At 40.3% G+C, this 24,810-nt stretch overlaps 1 protein-coding gene and 1 pseudogene across 2 annotated transcripts in view; one reads left to right on the forward strand and one right to left on the reverse strand.

Annotated features, from left to right (window-relative positions):
• The window catches only part of TESK2 (testis associated actin remodelling kinase 2), a 147,281-nt gene that overhangs the window by 59,434 nt on the left and 63,037 nt on the right, over positions 1-24,810 (reverse strand). For both annotated transcript variants that reach the window (NM_001320800.2, NM_007170.3), the window contains one exon: positions 18,409-18,530. In NM_001320800.2, coding sequence (NP_001307729.1) covers positions 18,409-18,503 — 95 coding nt within the window. In that variant the 5' untranslated portion in view covers positions 18,504-18,530. The remainder of the gene's footprint in view (positions 1-18,408; positions 18,531-24,810) is intronic.
• Positions 11,704-12,028, forward strand: PPIAP36 (peptidylprolyl isomerase A pseudogene 36; annotated as a pseudogene).

Here is a 24,810-nt window from a genome sequence, read left to right on the forward strand (position 1 = left end):
AAGAACTATGAATCTAAACCCGTAAAAAGGCAGTAATATCCTCGGGTAAGTGCAGTTCAAACATGTTTTAGAGGTATTACATCATGGAAAACTGGTTGTGCTAGGTCTTAGATAGGAGAATTCATAAGGAAAACTCAGCTGAACAGACATTAACCACCAGAGTCTCACATCAGGTGACACTAAGCAGAGCTGGTTCAGTCTCGCTTTCTCCTTTTTGTCTTTGGTTTTTAACAGTCCAATTTTAAGACAGCCAAAGGCAGAACAAACATTGCTTAGCAATCAGATCATGTCAATAGCACTACACATAATAACAAGAGGCCCAATCAAGTTCATGGTCCAATTTTACTTTTTTGGGGTAAAGCAATACAAAGATCTAAAAAGTTAAAGTCAGATCTGCTTGCTTACAAATATTAGAACAGTTTAATAAATAGAAAACAGCCAAGATTTCTGGGAGGAAAATATATACCCTCTATCTTGAATAACAAACTGAAATTAAACAAAGAATGAATTTATAAGTAGTTTAACAAAAATTTTAAATCACATTGCTCAAAACTGCCATGCAAGCGAAAAAAAAAAAAAAAAACAAGTCTCCTGACAAAGGCAGAACTATTAATACATATACATACAGTGACTTTAAATATGGCCAAAAAGCTTTTTCTTAATCCAGGAAGTTCAAAAGAGAACTAATATCCACAAACTCAAGTATTTAAGTTGTCTTCCCAAGCCCTGAAAAAGTTTCTTCTTCCTTTCCAAATTTCTCCTTTATTCTAAAATTACTTATAAATTTACACCAAAGTAACAAAATAGAAATATAGACTTCAATCTATGTGAGCACATTTCTGAAACAATACTCTCACAATGATTTATTTCTTCTCCCTCTCCCAAAGTGAATGAAATGTATGGAGGAAAGAAAATGTCAATCTACTAAGTATGTATCAAGCAATTAATATTTGCAAGGTTTGTGCTCTCCACAGATAAATATTAGAGTACTTGAAATTTTTGTAATGCCTGTCACATATATATTAAGTACAGTGCCATGCAAAGGGGATTAAGTGGGGGCTACAGAAATAAATGTGATGTTCCCTTCTTCAAGGGAACAAACGATGGTGATGTATAACATTTACTGAGCACCTAAGGACGTGTCAGACACTGTTCTAAATACTTTTACAGAGCTTATCTCATTTAATCCTTGTAAAAATATGTGATAAGTATATTTCTATTTTATTTAATTATTTTTTTTTTTTTGAGATGTAGTCTCACTTGATCACCCAGGCTGGATTGCAGTGGCGCGATCTTGGCTCACTGCAACCTCCACCTCCTGGGTTCAAGCAATTCTCCTGCCTCAGCCTCCCGAGTAGCTGGGATTACAGGCATGCGCCACCACGCCGGGCTATTTTTGTATTTTTATTAGAGACGGGGTTTCACTATGTTGGCCAGGTTAGTCTCGAATACCTGAACTTAGGTGATCTGCCCACCTTGGCCTCCCAAAGTACTAGGATTACAGGCCTGAGCCACCACACCAGGCCTATTTCTATTTTAGAGATAAGAAAAATAAAGATTAAGTGGCTCACCTAAGGGCACACAATGAGCAAATGGCGGAGTCAGGGAGTGGATTTTTACCTCTTAAACTTTAAGCTATACAGCCTCAATATATGATACTTCAGATTATTGTGACAGTAGTAATAACAATAATAAAAAATAGTGACAGGTAAGATTTAGTGCCTTTGTACTGTGATCAATTCTTTATGTATATTATCTAATTTAATCTTCCCATCAAGCTGATACAGCAGTACTACTATTATTTCCTACTTCACAGGTAAGAAAACTGAGGTTATAGATATTTCACAATTTGCTCAAGATCCCCTAAATTACTACGAGGCACAACCATCCTGAATCTCTCCTTTGAATTCCAAACTTGTTTATCCAACTGCCAAGTTGATATCTCCTGATCTCCCATTTCCAAAACTGTTCCCCACAATGTCTCCCCAGCACAGTTACTGGCAATTCAATTCTTCCAGTTGTTCAAGTCAAAACCTAAGTAATCTGCACATGTGTATGGTGGTTTGAAATAAAAAATGAATAAATTTAAAGTTTAAAAATTGACAAACAAAAAACCTAATTAAGAGGCATCCTTTATGCCTCCTTCCCTTGTGCTAATATCCCTCACCGATTTCCTCTTTAAAAAATATTCAGGGCCAGGTGCAATGGCTTACACCTGTAATCCCAGCACTTTGGGAGGCCGAGGCGGGCAGATCGCTTGAGCTCAGGAGTTCAAAACCAGTCTGCACAACGTGGTGAAACCCCATCTCTAAAAAATATATCTATATCTATATCTATATATAGATATATATATAAAATCTTAGTGTGTGTATATATCTACATATATATACACACACACACAAAAATTAGCCAGGTGTGGTGGTGTATACGTGTAGTCCCTGCTACTCGGGAGGCTGAGGTGGGAGGATGATTTTAGCCCAGCAGGAGGCCAAGGCTGCAGTGAGCCATGATGGTGTCACTGCACTCCAGCCTGGGCAACAGAGCAAGACCCTGTCTCAAAAAAAAATCTCTATTTTTTCTTGGAGAAATAAGAAAAATTAAAAGAAAGAAGATATTCAGAACCCAGCTGGTTGCAGTGGCTCACACCTGCAATCCCAGTATTTTGGGAGGCCAGGGTGGGAGGACTGCTTGAGCCCAGAAGTCCAAGACTAGCCTGGCCAACATAGTGGGTCAGTCTGTCTCTATAAAAAAATTAAAACAAAAAAATTATCCCAGTGTGGTGGTGCTCACCTGTAGTCTCAGCTACTTGGCAGGCTGAGGCAGAAGAATTGCTTGAGCCAGGGGTTGGAGGCTGCAATGAGCTGTGATCATGCCACTGCACTCCAACATGGACAACAGAGCAAGATCTTATCTCAAAATAAATAATTATGAACAGTATTTTAAAATTTCTCAATAAAATATTTTGAACCTAAAATTATGTGGTTGGCCTGCCAACTAAATGTTAGGGCAAAATAAAGACTTTACCAAATGAGTAAGAACTCAAAGTCTCCAGGGTGTGGTGGCTCATGCCTGTAATCCCAGCACTTTGGGAGGCTGAAGTGGGATGATCACTTGAGGCCAGGAGTTAGAGACCAGTTTGGGCAACATAGAGAGACCTTGTCTCTACAAAAATAAGACAATTAGCTGGGTGTGACACATTTAGGTGGTACACACCTGTAGTACCAGCTGTTGTGAAGGCTGAGGCAGGAGGATCGTTTGAGCCCAGGAGGTCGAGGCTGCAGTAACCCATGATCACACCCACTGCACTCCAGCCTGGGTGACAGAGCAAGGCTCTGTCTAAAAATAAAAATAAAAATAAAAAAATTCAAAACCCAACTCCTCTTCACCTTTACTACCACCATGTGGTCCCAGTCATCATGAGCTCTATCTAGATGATTGCAATAGCCTCCTTAAGTAACTTAAGTTACACACTTACATAGCTTCAAATAGGCATATAATAAAAAATAACAGTCCCCTACCCTGCCCACACCACATTGAATCACCTCCTCAGAGGGAACCACTTTCAACTCTTTTTAGCTATTTATTCTATTTACCTTCATACATCTAGCTAACATACACTGCCATTTCTGACCTTATCTACTGATTTTACAGTGTAGCAGCTGAGGATTTAGCATTCTTAAATATTTCCCTTCCAATATTGTTATAAGATAATTTGGGGTAAAATTGACATTCAGGGGAAAAAAATCAAGACTCAGGATTACATCGTTAAAATTATTATTATTTTTTAGAGACAGGGTCTTGCTCTGTCACACAGGCTAGAGTGCAGCGGTGTGATTACAGCTCACTGAAACCTTGAACTCTTGGGCTCAAGAGATCCTCCCACCTCAGCCTCCTGGGTAGGTAGGACCACAGGTGGTGGCCCCACAATGGGTTTTTTTTTGTTTTTTTAATCTTTTGCTGAGACAGGGTCCCACTATGTTGCCCAGGCTGGTCTCAGCCTCCCAAAGTGCTAGGATTATAGGTGTGAGCCACCGTGCCTGGCCAGCATTTACATTATTATGACTGATTATAATCACTATGAGGCCAAGTACTATATTATGATTTCACTTTATTTCTTCTATAATTGTTTGTATTTTACCCCTTTTTTCATTTGCTTAGTTATTACATGCTATCATGGTTTGGTTGTGTCCCACCCAAATCTCATCTTGAATTGTAGCTCCCATAATTCCCATTTTGGAGGGACCTGGTGGGAGGTAATTGAATCATGGGGACAGGTCTCTCCCATGCTGTTTTCGTGATAGTGAGTAAGTCTCACGATATCTGATAGTTTTATAAAGGGGAGTTCCCCTGCACATGTTCTCTTGCCTGCAGCCATGTAAGATGTCCCTGTGCTTTTCCTTCATCTTTTGCCATGACTGTGAGGCCTCCCCAGCCACGTGGAACTACGAGTCCATTAAACCTCTTTCCTTTATAAATTACCCAGTCTTGGGTGTGTCTTTATTAGCAGCATGAGAAAGGACTTATATGCATGCCTACTGCTACTTCTTTCCAAAGCCTCCAACAAAATTGTAAAATTCTTCTGAATATGGATTTCCACCCTGCCAAACATATCAGGAAATACATAAGTTCTTTCCTCACACCCCCACTTCCCAACATCTCTCCTGAATCTTGTAATCCTTCGAATCCAACCTGAACTGCTTATTTTGTAGACTGTTGCACAACAGTCATCCTGGGACTTCCCATTACCTTTATACCCACTTCTTTCTAGGTCTCAAGGCTTCCTTTTTATTTTTATTAGGGTGTTTTGTTTACTTCCCTGTTTTGAAGGGACACATCCTCCAATAGCATCATGAGAAGGGGCTCATGAGAGGCAAATTTTTTGACAATTTGCCTATCTAAAAATATCTTCACTCTACTCTCATGCTTGATTGGTAGTTCAGCTGGACATAGGATTCTAAGTAGGAAATCATTTTCTCTCAGAAAGCATCTTCCATTGCTCTAGCTTTTTTGTATGGGATTTTTTTTTAAATTTTTTCCTCTGTGGAAATGTTTAGAATATTTTTATTACCCATATTCTAAAATTTCATAATGATATGCTCTGGGTGGCTGTTTTTTCATTCATTGTGCTGGGCCCTTTCAATCTGGAAGCACATGTCCTTTGGTTCTCCCCTCCAGGTATTAGCCAGGCCCGGCACAATGGGTTAGTCTGCATACTGAATGGTGAGAACTCAAAGAGCATGAGCCTATGGCTCATATAAAAAATGTTTTAATTTTATTATATTGCCAAAGCCAAATACTTCTGAGAAAGGTTGTCATTTTTAAAAAACTGTCTTCCTTTATTTGGGTCTATTCATTTTCTCCAGGAAAAAATCCATCAATTTCCTGGCAAGTGGCAGGGTTGAGGGTAGGATAGGAATGATTCTTGCCTGCCTGAGAGCCAGGTGATGGAAGGTGACTAGAAGTCTTATGAGCCTCACCATTCCAGTATGCAGACTATCCCCCCATCTCCTCTTTTAGGTATTGCATTCTATCAGATGTTCACTAGTATGAAGTATTTCTGGTTCAATTTTTCTCCAAAAATAAACCATGTCTTATTGGGGTGGGTGATATTTAACTGATTAGTTACAAGAAATGGGGATGTTGACTTTCAGGCCCAGTTACCCCTTAAAAGACTTTGAATAGCCCTCTTATTTTTAGCCCAAGCCTGACACCCACCTTCAGTTCCTGAGCTTTTATAAGTTTCTGTGATGCAAACTGGCTTGGTTCTAATTGGCATCAGCTTCTAGAGATACTACACTATAGGCACTACAAATACAGTGGTGAAAAAGATAAACTTCTACCCTCAGAGAGCTCATTCAATACTGGAGGCTTTAAGCAATAGGTAAACAAATGAATAAGGTTCTTTTCAGAAGTAATGAGAACTTGTAACAAATATCGATGTCTATTTTAGACTAGTCAAAAAGATTTCTTTGAAGAGGGGCTATCTCAGCAGAAATATATCATATGATTCTGGAATAAAGTAAGTACAAAGGCCCTGAAGCAGGGAAAAAAGCTTAATGTGTCTGAGAAACAAGAGGGTTAGTGAGTGTGGTTAGAATGATGTAAGAAAAAGGAAGAATGATTGGAAATATGGTCAGAGCCACGTAGGCCAAATCATTTAGGGCCTGATAGGTTAAAGCCCAGAGTATGAACTTTGAAGAATGACAAAAAGCTGTATTAGGAAATTCAGCAGGGAAATGACATAATCTGATTTACCCTCTTAAAATTCAATCTGGCTATTGTGGGGTAAAAGGGGAAGACAAGAGATCAATTAGGATGGTTGGGCTAGAGTAGTAAGTGTAGAGGTAAAAAGACTCAGGACATATTTTGAAGATAATGCTGAACTACTTGATGGTTTGAAATAGGGTGTAAGAGAAAGATAATAAGAATGGTAAGTTTTTGGCTCAAGTGATGGATGAATGGTGGGAGAGGTCTGGAAAGAAGAAAGGGAATGCGGCAGGAAATTAATAGTGGTCCATAATGGGTACTCAATAATTAGTAATCATTGTTTATATTAAAAATCTTCAGCCAAGACACAGTGGCTCACACCTGTAATACCAGCACTTTGGGAGGCCAACGGGGGCAGATCACTTGAGGCCAGGAGTTTGAGACCAGCCTGGCCAACATGGTGAAATCCTATCTCTACTAAAAATACAAAAATTAGCTGGGTGTGGTGACACATGCCTGTAATCCCAGCTACTCGGGAGGCTGAAGCACGAGAACCTGGGAGGCGGAGGTTGCAGTGAGCAGAGATCATGCCACTGTACTCCAGCCTGGGTGACAGAGTGAGACTCTGTCTCAAAAAAAAATTAAGATCACCTTACAGTCTAGTGTTACAAAAGATGCTTTGTGAACTCTCTTGAGAGTCTTTCACCTAGTTACCCACCAGGATTACAATGATAAAATCAGAGAGATCCACTTTATTATTTTTTTTTCAACCTTCAACAGATGCAAAAAAACATTTTAGGCTGGGAGCAGTGGCTCACGCCTGTAATCCCAGTACTTTGGGAGGCCGAGGCAAACGGATCACCTGAGGTTAGGAGTTCGAGGCCAGCCTGGCTAACATGGTGAAACCCTGTTTCTCCTAAAAATACAAAAAATTAGCTGGGCATGGTGGCGCGTGCCTGTAATCCCAGCTACTCGGGAGGCTGAGGCAGGAGAATCACTTGAACCTGAGAGGCAGAGGTTGTAGTAAGCTGAGATTGCACCATTGCACCCCAGCTTGGGCAACAAGAGCGAAACTCCAACTCAAAAAAAAAAAATTTTTTTTTAAAACACTGCCCATTTATTCTGGAACACACTCCACATCCACATTCACTCACCCTTAAGATATTTTAAAAACCTGATTATTTAAAAATTGTTCAACATTTAATTCAATGTGATTTCTTATTTATATATTTATTTATTTTATTTTTTATTTTTTTTTTAACATACATGGTCTCACTATATCACCCAGTCTGTGTTTCAGTGGCACAACTGAAACCACCTTTGCAAAAGAGAAATCTGACATCGTTAACTCTATCTTGCCTCCAACCTCAAGCTGTTTGTCTTTGGTCATTCCTGGGCATAGGCCAAGCTAACTTTGGGAGGAATTTAGTTTACAGTTTAACCTTAAAGCAAGGATGATAATAGCCCTTCCCAAAACTAAACTACCTTTGTAAAACTAAGGAAAGGCCACAAGGTTAGGATTATGGGAGGGGAGAGAATTCTGCTAAAATGTAGGTATAGTTCTACAATTTCTTACTGCTTGGGAGTCATGTGGCTAGAGATCACAAGATTTGTGACTTCTCCAACTGCTCCTATAGATAACATCACTATTATAGAACCTAAGACTGGTTTTCTGAGAGATTTTTTTCAGACCAACCCCACCCAGACTCATGACTCATGACTCAACTGGTCCTGTAGCCCAGCCTTCCCCAACCTTTTTGGCACCAGGGACTGGTTTTGTGGAAGACAATTTTTCCACAGACTCGGGTGAGGGTCAGGTGGAGGGATGGTTTTGGGATGAAACTGTTCCACCTGAGATCATCAGGCATTTGATTCTCATAAGGGACGTGCAACCAAGATCCCTCGCATGCACAGTTCACAACAGGGTTCACGCTTCTATGAAAATATAATGCCACCGCTGATCTGACAGGAAGCAGAGCTCAGGCAGCAATGCTTGCTCACCTGTTCACCTCCTGCTGTGTGGCCCAGTTCCTAACAGGCCACAGGCTGATACCGGTCCATAACCTGGGGGTTGAGGACTCCTGCTGTAGCCCTACACAGAGGCACACTCAGCGCACAAGGACTTTTCCACACCCCCAATTAATCAGCAGCACCCATTCCCTCAGCCCTGCCCACCAAATTGTCCATAAAAACTCTAACCTCTAGAGGGCTTCAGGAAGACTGATTTAAGTGATAACTGCCTCTTTGGCATGGCTGGCCTTGAGTCAATTAAACTCTTTCTTACTGCAATGCCACGATCTCAGGGAATTGATTTTGTCTGTGCAGCTGGCAGGAAGAAGCCATCATAGCTCACTACTCCTAGGCTCAAATGGATCCTCCCGCCTCAGTCTCCCAAGTGCTCAGATTATAGGTGTAAGCCACCATGCCCTGCCTCAGTGTGATTTCTAACAACTGATCTGGTCCATTCTCATTAAACAGAAGAAATCAAAGCACAGAGGTTAAATAACTTGTCCTAGAGAATATAATTAGGAAATTGTGGAGCTGTGTGAATTGTACAAGAGAAAGAGTGGAAGAAAAGGCTGGAAAAACAGACTGAACCTTAACTGTCAGTCTAAATAATTTTTGACTCGATTTTGAAACCAATGTGAGCCACAAAAAGTTTTAAGAAATAAACTATACAACCAGAGCTGAGTATCAGGAAGAGTGAAAAAGGGCAAAGAGACAGGGAAAATAATTCACTCCAGGTGAAAGTGAAGAAGGCTGAATTACAGCCCACATATACGGGAAGGAATAGATGCAAAAGCCTTTGAATATTTAGAATCACAGCTTAGCTTCTCATTAGAAGCAAGGAATACATGATAACCAAAAATGGCTGGAATTTTTCAGGATGGATAACTGGAAAGATGGCTGTCTTAATAACTGAGACTGGGAAAATATCCTGCCATATTCTCACAGCATTAGCTAATGCTAGTCTATTTCCTACATAGTATAATTTACTTCTTAAGGAGACTCTCTGGGAGACAAGAAGCCTCTATTTCTCTTGCATTAATCATGATATTACCTAGCACAGGGAGGGACTGAGTAGTTCCAAGCAAATATTTGTGAATTGAAGGCATAGTCTTCAATTTCATATTTGGTGAATTGAAGGCATATTTGGTGAATTGAAGGAGTCTAAAAGAAATATTAAATTTCTCATGGCATAAATAACAGAGAGACCCAGTGCAGTGGCTCAAGCCTATAATCCCAGCATTTTGGGAGGCCGAGGTGGGAGGATTGCTTGAGCTCAGGAGTTCGAGACCAGCCTGGGCAATATAGTGAGAACTTTCTCTACAAAAAAATTTTCAAAGTTAGCCAAGTGTGGCGGCATACGCCTGCAGTCCCAGCTACTCAGGAGGCTGAGGTGGGAGGATTGCTTGAGCCCAGAAGGCAGAGATTGCAGTGAGCCTGGGCAACAGAGTGAGGCCCTGTCTTGGGGTCGTGGGGAGGTATGAGAACAAATCTGAGTGTATAGTTCCTCAAAAAGGCCACTGGGGAGTGGAAGTGAGTGGGGCATAGAACTGGGTTACAGATCTTGAGCATAAGACTTCCTGGCGTAAACAACCTTATTCACAAGAGACCTAAACAATCAGTCCCTGCATTCAACAAAGTACTTTATTGTTCCTTTTTTTAACTGATAACTTTGAGCAACTGATGATAAAATAACCAATCTTCACTGGGCCCATGTATAAACAGAATACACACACATGAACAAAATTTACACAAGTACTACCTCTATGACTTACCAGGCCCACACTTTTCCTCCCAAATAGAAATCTTAGGAGGAAGGGAGATAAAGGGAAAAAGGGAAACTAGGAGGTTGGGGTCAAGAAAAAGAGAACTACAAAGGTTCAGCTCACTCACTCCTGCTGGGCACACAATAGCTCTGGCAGAAGAGAACCAAGGTATGCCCAGAGGATTAAATGCCTACCACCTGGCAGATCATGCAGATAGGCTTCTTTCCCAAGTAGCCTTTCCAAAGCACTAACAGAAGAATTTTCAACTCATTCTTTTTCTTTTTCTTTCTTTCTTTCTTTCCTTCATTTCTCTCTCTCTCTCTTTCTTTTAAGCAAGAGACCTTTTCTTCAAAACTCTTATACAGAAGTTCAATATAAAAAAGATAAAAAGTGCAACTGTTCTGACTAGATGAAGCCAAGAGAACAGAAGTCTCATCTACTCAGCCACCTCCCATACCCGGGGCCAGCACCTGAGAAGGCACATCTGTGTAATCCTAGGGTTCCAAGAGATGGATTCTTCCCAATGTAGATCTAATCTCAATTTGGGGAAAAATTCTGGTTCATACTTCTGCACCTATAAAAGAAAGCTTATAATGTTTACAGCTTGAAAATAGACTAAGAGCCATACTAACAAATAGTAACCAAAAAATTTAAATCCTAAGTATTAACAGCAAATTGCTAAGACAACCAGAAAGCATTTAGAAAATACAAATTCTAAGAACCTTGAGAATAAAACATAGTCATGCTTAGTTTGGCATTTAAGGAGTCACAGGGAAGTATAATAAATGTTTCCATTACATTAATACTCGTCTGGGTAACAAAAGCCAAAAGGACTTTGTTTGCTCTAGGCCACTGGTTAGAATAATTTCCTTTTGTTGTCTTCAAAATATATAGTGAAAGTGAAGACATAAAAACATAAATGATATAAATAATTAGAAGCTTCTTTTAAAAAGTAATCCATTTCAGGCTTTTAAACCACAGTATCTTTGAGACAGATGGCTTATGCAGAACAAAAATGGTCACCATCAGAGGGCAAACCCACGTGGCTAACAATAATTACATTCTCATGTATTATACTTGCAGTGTGACAGTTCCTGTGCCAGAGGCTTTATATATATCATCTCATTTGTGGGCTTATTGGGAAGATTTAGATAGACTGAATGCTACCTTTCATACATTAGAAAACTTGGCTGAGAGCAAAGAACATTACTTTTTTAAGTTAAGGGGGATGAGGGTGGAGGTGGGGATCATTCCTAAGCAATAGGATCAAAAGGAGATAAGCTAAGAAAGTACATCAAGGAGATATGGAATAGGAATGGTAATGTTGGTCTCATCACAACCCTACATGTTTCTAGGCTGGAATACATATACCCGTAGCAAAGCAAAGGCAAAGATGTAGGTAGCCCAGCATTATCAAATACAGTAGGCACTAGCTTCATGTGGCAATTTAAATTTAAAGCAATCCAAATAAAATTTTAATTTCTTGTTTGCATTAGCAATATTTCTGTGCTTATTAGCCACATGTGGCTACTGGACAGCAGAAATATAGAACATTTCCATCACTGCAGAAGGTTCTATTGGACAGCAATGCTTTAGTAGAAAACCGTTGAATCTATTAAAAGCAACAGTAGGCACTCAACAAGTGTTTAGTGAGTAAATGAATAAAAAAAAGATAGGTGCTTTGTGGACACTGCTGCCACCGCCAGGAGCCCCGTACTATCAGCCATGGTCAACCCCACCATGTTCTTCAACATCACAGTCAAACAGCGAGCCCTTGGGCCACGTCTCCTTCGAGCTGTTTGCAGACAAGTTTCCAAAGACAACAGAAAACTTTTGTGCTCTGACCACTGGAGAGAAAGGATTTGGTTATAAGGGTTCCTGCTTTCACAGAATTATTCCAGGGTTTATGTGTCCGGTTGGATGGCAAGCATGTGGTCTTTGGCAAGGTGAAAGAAGGCATGAATATTGTGGAGGCCATGGGGCACTTTGGGTCTGGGAATGGCAAGACCAGCAAGGAGATCACCATTGCTGACTGTGGACAACTCTAATAAATTTGACTTGTGTTTTATTTTAACCACCAGACCATTCCTTCTGTGGCTCAGGAGAGCACTCCTCCACCCCATTTGCTCGCAATATCCCATAATCTTTGTGCTTTCGCTGCAGTTCCCTTTGGGTTCCATGTTTTCCTTGTTCCCTTCCATGCATAGCTGGATTGCAGAGTTAAGTTTATGATTACGAAATAAAAACTAAATAACAACAACAACAACAACAACAAAGGCTATAATAGGCCACTGAAAGAAGCAGCCAGAGGAAAAGAAACTAATAATAATAGCTAACATTTACTGAGCACTTACCACATACCAGGTACTATTCTAAGTGATTTACGTGTACTAATTTAATTAATCTTCAATAACAACTCCGTAAAATATTTACTGTCATTACCCTCATTTTATAGATGGGAAAACTAAGGCTTAGAGAGGTTAACTAAACTTTCCTAAGATCCAGGATTTGAATCCAGGCAGTTTGATCTAGAATCTAGAGCAAGCTTGTCCAACCCACAGCCCATGGGCCACATGTAGCCCAGAATGGCTTTCAATGTGGCACAACACAAATTCATAAACTTTCTTAAAACACTATGAGATTTTTTTTTTGCAATTGTTTGTTTTAGCTCATCAGCTATTGTTAGTGTTAGTGTATTTTATATGTGACCCCAGATAATTCTTCTTCCAATATGGCCCAGGGAAGCCAAAAGATTGGACACCTCTAATCTAGAGCCTTTTTTTTTTTTTTTTTTTTTTTTTTTTGAGACAAGCTCTGGCTGTATCACCCAGGCTGGAGTGAAGTGGTATGATCTCAGCTCACTACAAGTTCTGCCTCCTAGGCTCAAGCCATCCTCCCACCTCAGCCTCTAAAGTCGCTAGGGCTACAGGCGCACACCACCATGCCCAGTTAATTTTTGTATTTTTTGTAGAGAAAACAAGGTTTTCTCTACAAAAACCATGTTTTCTCTACAAAAAATACAAAAGAAAACATGGTTTCACCATCTTGCCCAGGCTGGTCTTGAACTTGTGAGCTCAAGGAATCTGTCTGCCTCGGCTTCCCAAAGTGCTGGGATTACAGGTGTGGGCACACCCAACCTAAAGCCTTCATTTTTAATCATACTATAGTACTACTTTTTAAAATAGATCAAACATAAATGTATACAGTGTAGAATGATTAAATCAAGCTAATTAACATATCTACTACCTCACATCATTTTTTGTGGTGACATATTTAAAATTTACTCCTATTCCTGGATCATATAGCAGTTCTATTTTCTGTTTTTGGAAATATACATTATTATTAACTATAGTCACCATACTGCACAACAGATTTCAGAAATGTATTCCTCCTATGTAACTGAAACTTTGTGTCTCTGACCAACTTCCCCCTATTTCCTCCCCCATCCCATCCACTCACCCCATCCTCTGGTAACCACCATTCTTCTCTCCACATTTTTTTTTTTTTTGAGACAGAGTCTTGCTCTGTCACCCAGGCTGGAGCGCAGTGGTGCGATCTCGGCTCACTGCAACCTCCGCCTCTCGGGTTCAAGTGATTCTCCTGCCTCAGCCTCCTGAGTAACTGGGACTACAGGTGTGTGCCACCACACCCGGCTGATTTTTTGTATTTTTAGTAGAGATGGGGTTTCACCGTGTTAGCCAGGATGGTCTCGATCTCTTGACCTCGTGATCCACCCACCTCAGCCTCCCAAAGTGCTGGGATTACAGGCATGAGCCACTGCACCCAGCCTCTTCTCTCTACTTCTATGAGATCGACTTTTTTAGAGTTCATACATAAATGAGATCATGAGTTATTTGTCTTTCTGTGTCTGGCTTATTTCATTTAGTGTAACATCCTCCAGGTTCATCCAAGTTGTCCCAAATGACAGTATTTCCTTCTTTTTTGTTGTTTTTTGAGACAGTTTCGCTCTTGTTGCCCAGGCTGGAACGCAATGGTGCAATCTCAGCTCACTGCAACCTCTGCCTCCCAGGTTCAAGTGATTCTCCTGCCTCAGCCCCCTGAGTAGCTGGGGTTACAGGCATGCACCACCACACCCGGCTAATTTTATATTTTTTAGTAGAGACAGGGTTTCTCCATGTTAGTCAGGCTGGTCTCGAACTCCCGACTCAGGTGATCCACCTGCCTCGGCCTTCCAAGCTTTTAGTTTGATGCAATCTCATTTGTCTATTTTTGCTTTTGTTGCTTGTGCACATCCAAAAAATTGTCTACCCAATCTCATGGAGATTTTTCTATTATGTTTTCTTTTTTTTTTTGAGACAGAGTCTCGCTCTGTCGCCTGGGCTGGAGTGCGGTGGCGCGATCTCGGCTCACTGCAAGCTCTGCCTCCAGGGTTCACGCCATTCTCCTGTCTCAGCCTCCCGAGTGGCTGGGACTACAGGCACCCACCACCACACCTGGCTAATTTTTTATATTTTTAGTAGAGACGGGGTTTCACAGTATTAGCCAGGATGGTCTCGATCTCCTGACCTCGTGATCCGCCCACCTCGGCCTCCTAAAGTGCTGGGATTACAGGCGTGAGCCACCGTACCCAGCATACATTTTCTTTTAGTAGTTTTACAGTTTCAGGTTATACTATACCATTTTATTATATAACAAGTATATCTAAAGATTTTGCTGTAATGGAATAAAATTTATTTAAAGTCAACTTTCCATGCATTTGCTAGTTCAGTTCACAGTGAAGAGAGTAAGAAAAGGAATGATAAAATAAAAAGATTAGCAGGAAAGATGCCAAAATGCTAATACTAGTTTTAGCCCTACATGCTGAGATTAAGGGCAAGTTTTATTTTCTTTTTCTTACTAATTCTATTTTCTAAATGTTTGCATTGCAATTATGTATCACTTCTGTAATAATAAAAAAATTAAAATATTACTTCTTAAGCTAGATATTACTTAAAATATGATCATCTTAAAAATTCCTAAGCAGAATATCAAAGCCTCATCTACCTCACTCTCAAACATGGTGGAAGCCCCCTAACTGATCTCTTTGCTACCAGTCTCTCTAACACTAAACCATTCTGCATCTTGTCATCAATTACCTTATCATTCTAGTTTCTGCTCAGAATCCAATCACAGATCATAAACTACAATCCTTTGGATTTATGCAAAGCATTTCTGGATAATTTGACCCAATTCTACTTTTCCACCTTTATCTACCAATACTATCCTATCAAATCCTCAGTTCTTCTAAGAGAAGCCTGGTAGAAAGAACATAGGCCTTAGAGGAGACTTTGGCCCATACATAATCTCTTGGCCTCAATGGAGAGTGAGTGTGAAGATGAAATCTTTAAATAAGTAACACACCCAGTATACAACATGCCTTCAATAAATGGTCATTATTATTATTGTCATTATTAGCCAAATAGGATTTTATTCACTGACTCCTCAAAAAGCTTTGCATTTTTATATCTGTGCTTTCTATATCACTATTTGCTCTGAGTTCCTCCCCTATCTTCTAAAATCCTTTTAAAAATCAAGGTTCATTATTATGCACGACATGCCTGCATCAAAATATTTTATGTAACCCATAAGCAGATATACTTACTATGTAATCACAAAAATTAAAAGTAATTTAAAAAAAAATTCAAAGTCCGGTTCAAGTCCCCTCCTAGAAGGCTTCCCTGACCCTTTTTTTTTTTTTTTGAGACAGAGTCTTGCTCTGTTGCCAGGCTGGAATACAGTGGCGCAATCTCAGCTCACTGAAACCACTGCCTCCCAGGTTCAAGAGCTTCTCCTGCCTCAGCCTCCCGAGTAGCTGGGACTACAGGTGCATGCCACCACACCCAGCTAATTTTTGTATTTTTAGTAGAGACGGGGTTTCACCATGTTGGCCAGGATGGTCTCGAACTCTTGACCTTGTGATCTGCCTGCCTCAGCCTCCCAAAGTGCTGGGATTACAGGCGTGAGCCGTCACGCCCAGACTTCCCTGACTCTTCAAAGTTAATATGACCCCTCACTCATTTGAACTCCTAAGGCACTTAAGAGTTTATTCTACTCAAATGGTGGTGTCTTAGTTAATTTATTAGTTCTCTTTCCATCAATGTAAGTAGAGCAAGTAAAGTATAAATTCCTTGCTAGCAGACACTCTATTTTATATATATCTTGATATCTTTCTGATGTCTGAATATATCACCAGGCATATAGTAGATGCTCAAAAAATGTGTTAATCTGGCCAGGTGCGGTGGCTCACACCTGTAATCCCAGCACTTTGGGAGGCCGAAGCAGGTGGATTACCTGAGGTCAGGAGTTCAAGACAAGCCTGGCCAACGTGGTAAAACCCCGTCTCTACTAAAAATACAAAAATTAGCCGGGTGTGATGGCGAGTGTCTGTAATCCCAGCTACTTGGGAGGCTGAGGCAGGAGAATCACTTGAACCCAGGAGGTGGAGGTTGCAGAGAGCTGAGATCGAGCCATTGCACTCCAGCCTGGGCGACAAGAGTGAAACTCCGTCTCAAAAAAAAAGTGTTAATTTGACTTATAAATTTGAAAGAAAGTCACCACAATAAAAATACTGGCTGAATATTTTTGTAGTAGACTAGGAAGCCAATAATTCTATATAAGGATAAAAAGTTTCAAGTAAGCAGTATAATTTAATTCCATAATTTAATACCATTGACCAAACATGTAAGTCATACTTAAGCCATATGAGTTCTCTCTAGCCTAATATAAACATACAAAAAATAGCAATAAATGACCCTAAGTAAATAGTACTTTAAACTTTACAAAGCATCCTGCACATAAACCCTAACTAAATATACATTGAATTAAATTGTCTTATTTGGTCTCATTTAAAAATATACTGGCCAGGTGTGGTGGATCACACCTGTAATCCCAGCCTGAACAACACAGTGAGACCTTATCTCATTTAAGAAAAATTTTTTTTAACAAAATCATTTTTGTTTTTAATATAGGGTCTCACTCTGTCACTCAGGCTGGAGTGCAGTGCTGCAATCATGGCTCACTGTAGCTGTGAACTATTGGCTCAAGAGATCCTCCCACCTCAGCCTCCCGAGTAGCTGAAACTACAGGCACATGCCATTATACCTGGCTAATTTTTTTTTGTTGTTTGTTGTTGTTGTTGTTTGTAGAGATGGGGTTTCACCATGTTGCCCAGGCTGGTCTTAAACTCCTAGGCTCAAGAGATCCACCCACCTTGGCCTCCCAAAGTACTGAGATTACAGGCATGAGCCATCATGCCTGGCCAAATAAAATTTTTTTTTTTTTTTTTTTTTGAGACGGAGTCTTGCTCTGTCACCCTGGCTGGAGTGCAGTAGTGCAATCTCAGCTCACTGCACTAGGTTCCCAGGGGGAACCTCCACTTCCCGGGTTCAAGCAATTCTCCTGCCTCAGCCTCCCAAGTGGCTGGGACTATAGGCACGTGCCACCACGCCCGGCTAACTGTTTTTTTGTATTTTTAGTAGAGATGGGGTTTCACCATGTTAGCCAGGATGGTCTCAATCTCCTGACCTCATGATCCGCCTGCCTCGGCCTCCCAAAGTGCTGGGATTACAGGCGTGAGCCATCGCGCCCAGCCAAATTTTTTTTAAAAAGAAAATATACTTGCCTGACTAAAATATCAAAATAATTAAAGCAAGAAAGATTCAGATACGGATTATTAAAAAGTGACAATTACATAAACTTATAAAAATAATTGTCCACTTTGGGAGGCCAAGGAGGGTGAATTGCTTGAGCCCAGGAACTTGAGACCAGCCTGGGCAAATGGTGGAACTCTGACTTTACGAAAAATGTGAAAATTAGCTGGATGTGGTGGTGCGCCTGTAGTTCCAGCTGCTCAGGAGTCTGAGGTGGGGAAGCTCAACTGGGCCCTGGAGGTCAAGGCTGCAGTGAACCATGATCATGCCACTATACTCCAGCCTGGGTGACAGAGTGAGACCCTATCTCAAAAAAATAACAATTCTCAAAGGCAAAATGTGTCTCCTCAAGTGAGTGCTAAAAGTTAAGGATAGATAACTTGAGGGTGTAATTTTACATTTATTGCCACTCATTGATTTAATTACAATTTCCCAAAAAGTAATCAGGAAAAGTAAATAACCACATAAAGACCAATCTCTCCTCTTTGATAAATTACCAGTCAGCAATAGAAAACAATTGTTCTAATGAGCTGCTACTAATGTTCTAATGAGAGTAAAGCAACTTAAGAGATAAAGGAAGTTGCTTTATTAAATGCAGTTAATTACCAATAAATTAAGTCTCAATGGGTAGAAAACGACCTAGAGTACCACTAAACCCCAGCAAGATAGATTCAGCATGATAAATCCTGAATCCCTCCTTTTTTTCCTATTAGTGCTATTCTAGCAAGCCTCCAATGTTTCAGTTTTCTCATTGATCAGAAGGAAGGAAAAGCCATTACCTAAGGATGTTGGGATGGGAGAGTCTATTCATGAGCTGTACTTCTTTCAGCATGTTTGCCCGGTTACTGCTCAATGTGTTCATCTTAAGAGCCATCACCTGACCAGAAGCTCGGTGTCGTACCTAGAATATTAAATAGAACAAGAAAAGAGGGTCAAGGGCAATAGTTATATGTGAGGTCAACATCTCCAAATGTACAATATGCCAAGATATTTTTGTGCCACTTTAGATAAAATATACATCTAATTACATTAAAGTATCACTTCCATGAATGAAGATGAATTATTCTACCCAAGAACAGTATTATTTCACATTGAGTTGGCCAGAAAAACACTGTTACTAACATCTCAAGAAAACATGTCTGATATACACCATGGAATACTATGCAGTCATAAAAAGGAATGAGGTCATGTCCTTTGCAGGGACATAAATGAAGCTGGAAGCCATCATCCTCAGCAAATTAACACAGGAACAGAAAACCAACACTGCATGTTTTGAACATTGAGAACACATGGACACAGAGAGGGAAACAACACGCACCAGGGCCTGTTAGCGGGTGGGGGGTGAAGGAAGGGAACTTAGAACTTAGTCAACAGGTGCAGCAAACCACCATGGCACAAACCTGCATGTTCTGCACATGTATCCCATGTTTTCTTTTTTTTAGAAGAAATAAAGAAAAAAATGAAGAAATAAATAAAAGAAATCATGTCTGGTTTGTTGCTGTTGTTGTTTTTGTTTGAGACAGGGTCTCACTGTGTCACCCAGACTGGAGTGTAGTGGCACAATCTCGGCTCACTGCAACCTCCACCTCCCAGGTTCAAGTGATTCTCCTGCCTCAGCCTCCTGAGTAGCTGGGATTACAGGCATGTGCCAACACACCCGGCTAATTTTTGTATTTTTAGTAGAGACAGGTTTTCACCATGTTGGCCAGGCTGGTCTCAAACTCTTGACCTCAGGTGATCTGCCTGCCTCGGCCTCCCAAAATGCTGGGATTACAGGTGTGAGCCACCATGCCCAGCCAATCATGTCTGGTTTTTTGTTGTTGTTGTTGTTGTTTTTGTTTTGAGACAGAGTCTTGCTCTGTCACCCAGGCTAGAGTGCAGTGGCGTGATCTCGGCTCACTGAAACCTCCACCTTCCGGGTTCAAGCAATTCTCCTGCCTAAGCCTCCCGAGTAGCTGCGATTACAAGCGCCTGCCACCGCGCCCAGCTAATTTTTGTATTTTTAGTAGAGACGGGGTTTCACCATGTTGGCCAGGCTGGTCTCGAACTCCTGACCTTGTGATCCACCAGCCTTGGCCTCCCAGCCACCGTGCCTGGCCTGTTTTTAATACCTTAGAAAAAAAAAATGAGGGAAAATTTTTAAGCTGATTCCTCATGGCTGACCTTGGTGAGTCTTAAGACACCAACAGAAAAGAGTCCCTTCTGTGGCATTCTAAGTGTGCAAAACGAAGATATATGCATGAGCCTTATGTAACACTTAATGAAACTGTCTTTATAAGATGCTAAACCCACATACTCAAAGTCTCCCCCAAGTACCATAAAAATCCATAGGCCGGGCACAGTGGCTCACGCCTGTAATCCCAGGACTTTGGGAGACCAAGGGGGACAGATCACGAGGTCACAAAATCGAGACCAGCCTGGCTAACATGGTGAAATCCCGTCTCTACTAAAAACACAAAAAATTAGCTGGGCGTGGTGGCGGGCACCTGTAGTCCCAGCTACTCGGGAGGCTGAGCCAGGAGAATGGCATGAGCCTGGGAGGCGGGGCCCGCAGTGAGTGGAGATTGTGCCACTGCACTCCAGCCTGGGTGACAGAGCGAGATTCCGTCTCGCGAAAAAAAAAAAAAAATCTATAAAAAAAAAAAATTTCATGCTAAATATAGAAAGAAGTCCGTGAACCTTTTAGAGCTAATATTGTAGTAACTCTACCCAAAGCACCTTATAATCATTTAAACACACTCAAGTTAAATACAACAAACATGGGCCACACCACTCACACTATTACCCATATGCACAGAGGAAAGTCTACTTCTAAAAGTATTCGCCCTCTATAGAACTCAATCTATTGTGCATGTGTAAATATTATTTATCATTTCAATGCACACTCCACAGGTTTCATAAACCATAACACTTTACTTGAGAAAGATTGTTTTCACCCTGTAAATGTGGTCTCATTGGTAGCAAAATAAGACCACCAGACAAAACATTTTGTGTGATTCAAAGAAGCTAAACTGAGATATGTGTGTTTCCTGCTTAGGAATTATGAATGAGGCAGTAGAAAAATCATGAAGTCACAAAGATCTTTCTCGTTAAAAAAATTTCATTTCATATCTTGCACAACAGGGACTTTACTATGCAAAAATGTCATCATCCTACGGACTTCAGGAGTATCATTTCAGTATGCTATACTCAACCAAATGGGAATTCCAAAAGAAAACATGACAACTTACTTAAACTCTTCAATATCCAAAAACTCCTTGAAATGACAATAGCTCCACAAGTTTATCATAGCTATTAATACAGGTCAGACATCACAGCTTATCTTAGAATTCAAACAGTGTTTCAGAGAGGCCAGGCAGAAGAGGGAAGGCTGTTGAGGGGGAGGCCGGGCCAAAACACAAAGAGCCACAGGAACCCTGATCGGAAAAACTAAGGCAGGCAGAACACTGGCTGCCTCTCCTCTCCTAGATCACTGAGTGAGATTTGGAACCCAGCTCTCTTCTCAGTGCATCAAGGATTCTGTTGTAATGTACCTCTTGACTGATGAAAGAGAAGTAGCTTTCCATTTCAGATCCTGCATGGATAAGTTAAAAGAAACATTTATAAACAAAGAGCTCACTGGTAGTATTTTTCCAACTCTATTTACAGAAGACATCTGTGTTTTAATAAGGACTCTCCAGCTGAAAGTCACTCTTCTTATTTTTCCATCATCTGAAAACTGTCACACTAAGATTTTAACAAAATGGCAAAACCCATGAAAAGATCATTCATCCTGACCAACCGGGATTTATCCCTGGGATGTAAGGATAGTTCAACATACGTAAATCAATCAATGTGATACATTATATCAACAGAATGAGGGACAAAAACCATATGATCATTTCAATTAATGCTGAAAAAGCATTTGATAAAATTCAACATCTCTTCATAATAAAAACCCTCAAAAAACTAGGTATAGAAGGAACATAGCTCAAAAAGCCATATATGACAGACCCAAAGCTAGTATCATACTTAATGAAGAAAAACTGAAAGCCTTTCCTCTGGGATATGGAACACAAAAAGGATCCCCACTTTTACCACTGTTATTTAACATAGTACTGGACACCCTAGCTAGAGCAATCAGACAAGAGAAAGAAATAAAGGGCATCCAAATTGGAAAGGAAGAAGCCAAATTATTCTTGTCTGCAGATGATTATGATCTTGTATTTGGAAAAACCTAAGACTACACTAAAAAAACTATTAGAACTGATAAATTCAGAAAAGTTACAGCATACAAAATCAACATACAAAAATCAGTAGCATTTCTATATGCCAACAGTGAACAATCTGAAAAAGAAACCAAAAAGTAATCCAATTTATAGTAGCTCCAAATAAAATTAAATACCTAGAAATTAAGTTAGCCAATGAATTAAAAGAGCTCTAAAAGGCCAGGCACAGTGGTTCACGCCTGTAATCCCAATACTTTGGGAGGCCAAGACAAAAGGATTGCTTGAGTCCAGGAGTTCGAGACCAGCCTGGGCAACATAGTGAGACACTATCTCTACAAAAAATACAAAAAAATTAACTGGGCTTGGTGGTTCAAGCCTGTGGTCCCAGCTAGTCGGGAAGCTGAGGTGGGAGGATTGCTTGAGCCCAGGAGGTCAAGGCTGCAGTGAGCTGTGATCGTGCCACTATACTCCAGCCTGGGTGACAGAGCAAGACTGTCTCAAAAACAAACAAAAAAGTTCTCTACAATGAAAGTTATAAAACATTGATGTAAGAAACTAAAGATACAAAAAAATGGAAAGATATTCCATGTTCATGAATTGCAACAATCGGTATTTTTAAAATTCCCATACTACTCAGATACTAAACTTTCTATGGAATCACAAAGACCCAGAATCGCCAAAGCCATCCTGAGGAAAAGAAAAAAAGCTGGGCCGGGTGCAGTAGCTTATGCCTGTAATCCCAGCACTTTGGGAGGCCGAGGTGGGTGGATCACCTGAAGTCAGGAGTTTGAGATCAGCCTGGCCAACATGGTGAAACCCTGTCTCTACTAAAAAAAAAAAATACAAAAACTAGCTGAGCGTGATGGCATGCCCCTGTAATCCCAGCTACTCGGGAGGCTGAGCAGGAGAATGGCTTGAACCCGGGAGGCAGAGGTTGCAGTGAGCCAAGATTGCACCACTGCACTCCAGCCTAGGTGACAGAGCTGAGACTTTGTCTCAAAAGAAAAAAAGAAAGAAACTGGAGGAATCACATTACCTGATTCAAATTATACCACAGAGCTATTGTAACCAAAATAACATGGTATTGGCATAAAAACAGAAACATAGACCAATGGAACAGAATAGAGAATCCAATAACAAATCCATAAATCTACAATAAACTCTCATTTTCAACAAAAGTACCAAGAACATACATTGGGGAAAGGACAGTCTCTTCAACAAATAGTGCTGGGAAAACTGTATAGTTACATGCAGAAGAATGAAACTAGACTCCTATCTCTAGCCATATGCAAAAATCTAATCAAAATGGATTAAAGATTTCGATCTAGGACCTCAAACTATGAAACTACTACAAGAAAACATCGGGGGAAACTCTCCCATTGGTCTGCAAAGATTGCTCGAGTAATACTCCAAAAGCACAGGCAACTAAAGCAAAAATGGACAAATGGGATCACATCCGGTTAAAAAGCTTCTGCACAGCAAATGAAACAAAGTGAAGAGTCAATCCATGGAATGGGAGAAAATATTTGCAAAATATCCATCTGACAAAGGATTAATAACCAGAATATATAAGAAGTTCAAACAACTCTATAGGAAAAAAAAATCTAACAATCAGATTTTTTAAATGGGCAAAAGATCTGAACAGACATTTCTCAAAAGAAGACATACGAACAGCAAACAGGTATATGTAAAGGTATTCAACATCACTGATCATCACAGAAATGCAAATCCAAACTACAATGAGATATCATCTCACCCTAGTTAAAATGGTTTTTATCCAAAAGAAGGGCAATAAAGAATTCTTGCAGGCTGGGCACGGTGGCTCACGCCTGTAATCCTAGCACTTTTGAGAGGCCGAGGTGGAGGATTACCTGAGGTCGGGAGTTGGAGACCAGCCTGGCCAACATGGTAAAACCCCGTCTCCACTAAAAATACAAAAATTAGCTGGGCATGGTAGTGCACGTCTGTAATTCCAGCTACTTGGGAGGCTGAGGCATGAGAATCACTTGAACCTGGGAGGCAGAGGTTGCAGTGAGCCAAGATCACGCCACTGCACTTCAGCCTCAGCAAGACTCTGTCTCAAAAAAAAAAAAAAAAAAAAAAAAAGAATTCTTGCAAAGATGTAGAGAAAGGGGTAAGCCTCGTGCACTGTTGGTAGGAATGTAAATTGGTATAGCCACTATGGAGAACAGTTTGGAGGTTCCTCAAAAAACTAAGAATAGAGCTACCATATGATCCAGCAATCCCACTGCTGGGTATATACCAAAAGAAGGGAAATCGGTATGTCAAATACATATCTGCACTTCCATGTTTATTGTAGCACTATTCACAATAGCCAAGATTTGGATGCAACCTAAGTGTCCATCAACAAACAAATGGATAAAGAAAATGTGGTACATACACACAATGGAGTACTATTCAGCCATAAGAAAGGATTAGAACCTGTCATTTGCAACAACATGGGTGGAACTTGAGGACATTATGTTCAGTTAAATAAGCCAGACATAGAAAGACAAACTTCACATGTTCTCATTTATTTGTGGGAGCTCAAATAAAACAATTGAACTCATAGAGACAGAGTAGAATGATGATGGTTAACAGAGGCTGGGAAGGGTAGTGTGGGGTGTGGGGGAGTGGGGGCAGTTAATGGGTACAAAAATATAGCTTGATAGAATGAAGAAGATTTAGTACAACAGGGTGATTACACTCAACAATAATTTAATTGTATATTTTAAAATAACAGAGTATAATTGGAATGTTTGCAACACAAAGAAATGATAAATGCTTGAGGTGATGGATATCCCATTTATCCCAATGTGATTATTACACATTGTATGGCTGTATCAAAATATCTCATGTACCCCATAAATATTATCTACTATGTACCCATAAAAATAAAAGTTTAAAAAAGATGCCCCAACCATCATACACAGTTATAAAACAGCAATAACATAGCTAACATTTACAGCATTT

Source organism: Homo sapiens, chromosome 1 (assembly GCF_000001405.40).
Source record: "Homo sapiens chromosome 1, GRCh38.p14 Primary Assembly".
In the NCBI taxonomy this organism is placed as follows: Eukaryota; Metazoa; Chordata; class Mammalia; order Primates; family Hominidae; genus Homo; species Homo sapiens.